This window comes from Homo sapiens, chromosome 16 (genome assembly GCF_000001405.40).
Source record: "Homo sapiens chromosome 16, GRCh38.p14 Primary Assembly".
NCBI lineage: Eukaryota > Metazoa > Chordata > Mammalia > Primates > Hominidae > Homo > Homo sapiens.
The window spans coordinates 14,522,506-14,529,407 of record NC_000016.10 but is presented as its reverse complement, the minus strand read 5'-3'; the positions used below and the strand labels follow the sequence as shown (position 1 = coordinate 14,529,407).

The window sequence follows — 6,902 nt, the reverse complement described above, 5'->3', positions numbered from 1 at the left end:
ATGGAAACTAGATTTTCAACTTTGCCATCCATCTGGCTTACAAAACTTGAAATGCTCCAGATGTGACTTTGTATCTTAATTCCTTTTCACCAACCAGAAGGTGGTGCTGTCGTGCTGGCAACCAATCTACCTTTCCAACGCCAAGTAAAACATTGAAATGCTTATTCATGCTAAGTAATGTGGACAGACTTAGCATTCGGATTCGACAGCGTACCTCTCCTGTAGTTGTGGGGAAGCCTTTAGAGTCCGGAGCTGGAGAAGCCTGGCAGAGGGGCCTTGGTTAGGCACTCGCTCAGGGCCACCTTTGCACTCACGGTGAAGTGACACTTTTATAGGAGTCAGGGCGAAGATGTCTGCTGAGTGCTGCTTGATCTGTGTCCAGTCTTCCATGAAACAGTTAAAGAATTATGACTAGAGATGAGAGAAGTTTCTGTAAAGAGAAAATGTTTTTTCTCTCGTTTCTTGCAGGGAAAGATCTCTACCTAGAGGAAAACTCATGAATCCAGTTTATAAGAAATACTTATAAAGTAATCATTAGTAATTAAAGTGATTAATTGAATACTCAACTAGTTGAAATATCCAAACAATCTCTCGAGTTATTTTAGCCGCTTGAAGGAAATAAAATCGGTGGTGTTTGATGTAACCTGAGTCCTTAGCTCCAGAGGTTAAAGTGGAGAAGAGAAAATTCATTTTACCAGGCTGGGGAGAATTCAGTGAGGTTATGAAGGTAAAGTTCTCGACATAGTGCCTGGCATTAGCTGCTCGGTAAATGTCCACTTTCCCCCCCACATCAGTCTATTCAGAAATCCAGACAATAAAATATCACAGAGTCAAGTTTGTAAAAAAGATGTATTGCTGCATCATGGAGACTGTGTGAGTGTGAAGCTCTTGGTGTTTGTATGATCGGCTTGCAAAATGACAGCATGTCCCTCAGGTAGGGCCATGTTTGTTGCCCTAAGTGACTTGCAGGTCTTCACCTGTCTGTACCTTTTAAACAAGAGACAAAACCTGCTGCCAGAATGATTTTTAGTTGTCTTTCCTTTTCTTTCCCATGGCTTCCTACAGTTGGGTTGCCGTTCTAATTAATCTCTTATCAGTGCAGTCAGGGGTCTCCTTTGGAGCCTCTTGTGGGGGTCCCACTTCAGTAGTTACTAGAGCAGCTTTCTGTTACAGAGGTTAACTTTTGAGTAGGTTCATAAGGAATGTGAGAATTCCACAGGCACAGGAGAAGTTTGCTGTAAGGTGAAGTTGTACTCATTAGGGCTATGGATTTATTCTGACACTCAGTTTGAGCAGCTGGTTTGGGCATGGTTTTAAAAATACAGTCAGTCCTCATTATTCACAGATTCTGTATTTGTGAATTCAGATATTCAATTTTTTGTAACCCACAATTCAGTTTTCACGTGCTTTTGTGGTCATCCCCAGGGATATGCAGGTTGGGAAAATTTTGTATTGCCCAACATGTGCTTCCAGCCAAAGCTGAAGGAGACTGCACTCTGCCTTCCAGTTTCTGCTCTTGGGCTGTAAACACGGCTCCTTTTCACAGGCTTTTAGTGCCAGTTTTTTGTTTTGAATTTTTGTCCTTTTTATTAGTGATTTTGCTGTTGAAAATGACCCCAAAGCATAGTGTTAGAGGGATACCCAGTGTTCCTGAATGCAAGAAGGATGTGAGGTGCCTTACAGAGAAAACACGTGTTAGATGAGCTTTGTTCACACATGAGTTAAAGTGCTCTTGGCCATGAGTTCAGTGTTAATGAATCAACAGTATATTAACTAAGATGTCTTTAAACAGAAACACACATAAAACAAGATAATATATTGATCGGTTGATGAACATGTGATCAGAGGTTTGTAGGACCCTAATCTTGTATTTCCCTAGAAACAATGACTCAGCATTTGCTAATTCAGCTTTCATGACGTCAAAAAGAAAAAAATTATGACAGATTTTGTTTAAAAATCTTGATTGGCTTTATTTGCAGTTCTGGAATGGGACAACAACTCATTCCATAAAATAGAATGAGCGTTCCAATGAGCTGGGCAGAGGAGGTTGGTTTTATAGATAGAGAAGGGTTGAAGAAAGCAGAAACAGAAAACAAAAAGCAGATTGGTCATTTCATAGTTGCTTTCCTTGTAAAGGTTAAAGCAGAGGGAACTCAATTTATCATGTCGTCAGGTAAAACTGGCTTGTTTGGAGATTCAGCTGTTTACTCTCATTTGGATTCCCCACAAGGTCATATAGAGAAATTAGTTTCAGCTTGGTGACATGGAACTTTAAGAGTGACTCCATTTCAGTTAGGTCTGTTGGGCCTAGTGCAGGAGCTCAGTCCAAACCATTGACCTCTATACATTTTATTTAACAATGGAGACTTTATAGAATATAGCTGCAAGACTGGAGTGTTTGTTGTTCTCTGCCTTCCTTTCTTCACCAGGGTGTTTGACCCAAAGCCATTAGGAAGAGGATTTCTGGGCTGTCTACTTTTTATTTGCTTTTAAAGGAGAGGTACTCACCTCAGAGCTTCAGGAGAGTCATTCTGGTTCTTGCCTGACAAGAGAAATGCCACAAAAATGGGCTGGCTGCAGGGAGGCCCGGCCACTCCTGGCCCAACTTTAACCCTGGCACAGTGACCGTGGACGGCTCCAAGTACTGGATAGTTAGGCAAATGGAGACATAGGATGGCTACAACTGTTGAATTTGACTTTAATTGAAGATGATGTTGCTTTTTTCTTTTCTTGATAGTTTATTTTCTGCAGATGAATCTCCTTATTGTGGATTACACCCTTGACTTTTCCTTTGTGTGATGAGGTTTGGGAAAACCAGGGATGTATGGTTTACTTTGCCAGCCTGTTCATTTCAGCTGCTTATTAACTTGCATCTTGGCCCCTTTAGAAGGAAGCGGCCTGAGATGGGAGCTGAGTAAAAACAGTGGATGAGGCCGGGCACGGTGGCTCATGCCTGTAATCCCAGCACTTTGGGAGGCTGAGGTGGGTGGATCACGAGGTCAGGAGGTTGAGACCATCCTGGCTAACATGGTGAAACCCCATCTGTACTAAAAATACAAAAAAATTAGCCAGGCGTGGTGGCAGGCACCTGTAGTCCCAGCTACTTGGGAAGCTGAGGCAGGAGAATGGCGTGAACCCGGGAGGCGGAGCTTGCAGTGAGCCGAGATCGCACCACTGCCCTACAGCCTGGGTGACAGAGCAAGACTCCGTCTCAAAAAAAAAAAAAAACAGTGGATGATTTATTTAATTCTTTTGGCAAGTTCTTGGGAAAAGTAACATGTAGAAAATTTGGTTATAGGTGGTGGCTCATGCCTGTAATCCCAGCACTTTGGGAGGCTGAGGTGGGCGAATCACTTAAGGTCAGGAGTTTGAGACCAGCCTGGCCAACATGGTGAAACCCCGCCTCTAAAATACAAAAAAAATTAGCCGGGCCTGGTGGTGCACACCTGTAATCCTAGCTACTCGGGAGGCTGAGGTTGGAGGATTGCTTGAACCCGGGAGGTGGAGGTTGCAGTGAGCCAGGATCGCACCACTGTACACTACAGTTTGGGCTCCATCTCAAAGAAAAGAAAAAGAAAATTTGGTTGAAATCATGGTGAGAACACTCAGTGTCCTTCCTATTAGGCAATCTTTCTTTTCACCTCTGTGCAAATAACAGTATAGTCTTTTCCTGGTGGAGCCTACAATTAAGGAGAGTGTTGCTTTTTAGGTCTGTTGAGTGAACTGAATCTCTGGATTCACTGAGCGGCTCTGTCATAGGCTTGCAGGGCCCCTTTGCAGGTAGGTGATAATGAAGAGAGGGTGCCATGAACAGGAGGGACAGGCTGAGGGAAGGGTCCTGTGTCCCAGCAGAGCACACAGCCTCCATGCCATTGCCTTCCCTCATCTCCTGGAAGCTTGATTCATGGTCCCTGTTTGCTTGCTGTGCTGACCTTCATTTGAATGGAATGTTTGTGCACCCCACCTTGGTCTGGGAATAATTGGGTTCCCTGCCTTGCCATCATAGAAGGGTTGTCCCTTCTGTGACCGCTGCATTGAGGGTTACAAAATACCACATCAGTATTAAGTGCTGGAAACTGATGAGTCTTGGACAACTTCAAACTAGGCATCCTGAGTTTTCCAGAGACATCCTTATCTTTCAGGTGGGAGGGAGTCATCTGTTTCATTTCTTGGGGAACAGCCTTTATCCTTTGATGCATTTACTTCCTCATCTGTAGAGAGGCGCATTTACTAGCTTAAGAACTTAATCCGGATCTTTTTCTTAGAGATCTTCATACTGAAATTCCATTGCAAGATTATCTGTAAGTATTCTGGATAACTTCAGACAAACTGAAACAAGGAAATTTAACACTCCTCATATTTCGTAGTAGTAGTAGTTGTTTCTGTTATAGACTGTTTTAAAATCTGTCATTGTTTAAATCCTTCTCTTTTCTCATGAAATTATATCCCCATTCCTCCCTATTAGATATGCTGGGTTGGACTATAATATTTAAAAGAGAGATTCATCTTGATATACAAAGGAAATAAGAGTTTCATTTTATATGTATGATATTCTGTGTTGCCTGGTAATAGAAAGATTTAGTGGATCTGAACAAGGAAAGACACATAGAAACCATGAAGCAGGATCCGAGTGGCACTGATGGCTGTATTTTGCTGATGTTAACTACTTGGAGAAATTTTTACAGGCAGTTGATTACTCAGTTTTCATATTGTTTCTGAGATATTTTAATTGAATAATGTTTGGGAAATTATATTCTAGTGGAGATAAAATATCTTCAGTAACATATTTTAAGTAAATGTAAAGAGTTTCCTTTAAATTATCAGTAGGTTTCTAATTTTAGTTAAAGGAGCTTTTCCCCTCCTTGTCTTTCCCCACTTCGAATGCTTGCAAGCAGTTTGAAAAGTGATTATGTTCAAGCTTGATCTTTGTCTTCTTATCTTGATAAATCGAACACTCTTAATGCTGCAGTTTAGCAGCAGCAGTGAACAGCTGCCCCTAGGAGTAAAGATCTTTTTCATAATTCATGTTTGGACAGGAAGGTGTACCTGGTAATGAATCTTGATGATCTAAACCGCCGTGATGGACCAAGGGTATGATGGCATACTGGTTTGCCTTCACACTTTGGCTGTTCTTCGAGAGCTTACTAATAAGAAAAAACAAACAAAATAAAGAAGTCATAACCAGGTAGCTGTCTTGGGGAAACAACACTCCATGAAATATTTTAAGTGTCTTAGGGTAAGAAAAGTGAGAATTTTAATACATCACAGGTTAGAATCAACTACAGTCATATGCTACATAATGACATTTCAGTCAACTATGGACTGCGTATACTACAGTGGCCCCATAAGATTGTAATACCATATTTTTACTATACCTTTTCTGTGTTTAGGTAAACAAATACTTAACCATTGTGTTACAGTTGCCTACCGTATTCAGTACCATGCTGTGCAGGTTTGTAGCCTAGGATCAATAGGCTATACTGTATAGCCCAGGCGTGTAGTAGGCTACACCATCTAGTATAAGTGCTCCCTATGGTGTTCACACAGCAATGCATTCCTCAGAACATACCCCTTCATTAGGCAACAAGTGACTATACTTAGGTTGTTTAAGGACCTCCCTGTCCTCTGAATGACTGAGCCCTTTATGTCCCTAATCCTTCTGTCATTTCTGGGAGGCTCAAAGAGGCAGGCAGGTTTTGTTTTCCTTTGGTTAGCTGTTCTGTCTTTGACATTAAATGTAATAATCATTTCATATTCTGTATAAGTCTTTAGACTTTTCTGTATCTGATCTCTACGTATGTACAGTATTAATTTTAGGTCAGCAGGAGGATAGACTTCTCTGACTGTGTTCGGAGAAATGGGGCAGAAAGCAGAGATTGCTCTAATTTGCATCCTGTCCTGACTGTATTTTCTGATTGTATTGCATTGTGTTAGAGAATGTGGTTAAGACAGTGTGTGCTATCTGTTGAGTCTTGCTTTATGGCCTAGTCAGGTTTTGTAAATGTGCCACGTTTGTTTGAAAGTACATTTTCTAACTGTTAAGTGTAGGGTTTGTCAGAAACGTCCCAATCTTCTGTATATTTACTAATTATTTTTGTTTGCTTGACACGAGTTTATAATTGGGGGATATATATATGTATATGTATAGTTTGTGTGTGTGTGTGTGTGTGTGTGTGTGTGTGTACTTGTTAGTTTTTCTTTATAATTCTGTCAGTTTTTCTTTGCATAGTTTAATGCTGTTTTTCTAATTAGTGGTTTGTTGTTTGGGGTTTTTTTGTCCTGAACTCATTTTTGTCCGATAACTTTATGTCAAGGTTTTCCTTTTTTGTTAAGTATTTGCCTGATACATCTTTTTCATCCTTTTACTTCTGAATTTCTTTCTGAGTTGCTTTGTGAGTAGGTTTTTATGTGTCTTTTGTGAAGAGCATCTATATGTAAATTTGCTTTTCTTTAGTCTGAGAATCTGTCTTTTAAATGGTGAATTGGGTCCACTTATCTTTAGTATTACCAGGTGTTTTCTTTGTTCCTTTTTCTTAGCACCCACTTGTGGAGCAGGCTTGAGATGAGATTTCTCTTTACAGACCTTTCTCTCCCCACCCCAGGCCATGGACAGGGAGCTTTGGTTGCCATTTCTCTGGGCTGGTTGTTGTTCTTGCCTTCTTCACTTGGAGGGGGCAGCCTTTCTGTGTGCCCATCTTGATGCAGGGACCTTGTTCCAGCTTCCTGTGCCACACAGGTCTGAGGCCATGTCTGGGTCTTTGTGACTTCTGGATATTGTCCCCTGTACCTGGTCTTGTTTTCCCCTTTTTTCCACCAGGGCTGCCCCAGCCCACTCTTTCTCTTAAGCCCTGGCTTTACATTTTCTCTTATTTCTCCCCTTCCTGCTTCCCTCTTATTAAGAG

The 6,902-nt window shown here is 41.3% G+C and overlaps 1 protein-coding gene across 11 annotated transcripts in view, besides 1 other annotated feature; it reads left to right on the top strand.

Annotated features, from left to right (window-relative positions):
• The window catches only part of PARN (poly(A)-specific ribonuclease), a 194,560-nt gene that overhangs the window by 100,853 nt on the left and 86,805 nt on the right, over positions 1-6,902 (top strand). The window lies entirely within an intron of this gene.
• Positions 6,018-6,755: an enhancer, noted in NCBI's record as "OCT4-NANOG-H3K27ac hESC enhancer chr16:14616510-14617247 (GRCh37/hg19 assembly coordinates)". NCBI's record gives its function as "activates a minimal SCP1, AML or CMV promoter by ChIP-STARR-seq in naive H9 embryonic stem cells {active_cell/tissue: H9 hESC(naive)}" and the evidence as "EXISTENCE:reporter gene assay evidence [ECO:0000049][PMID:30033119]".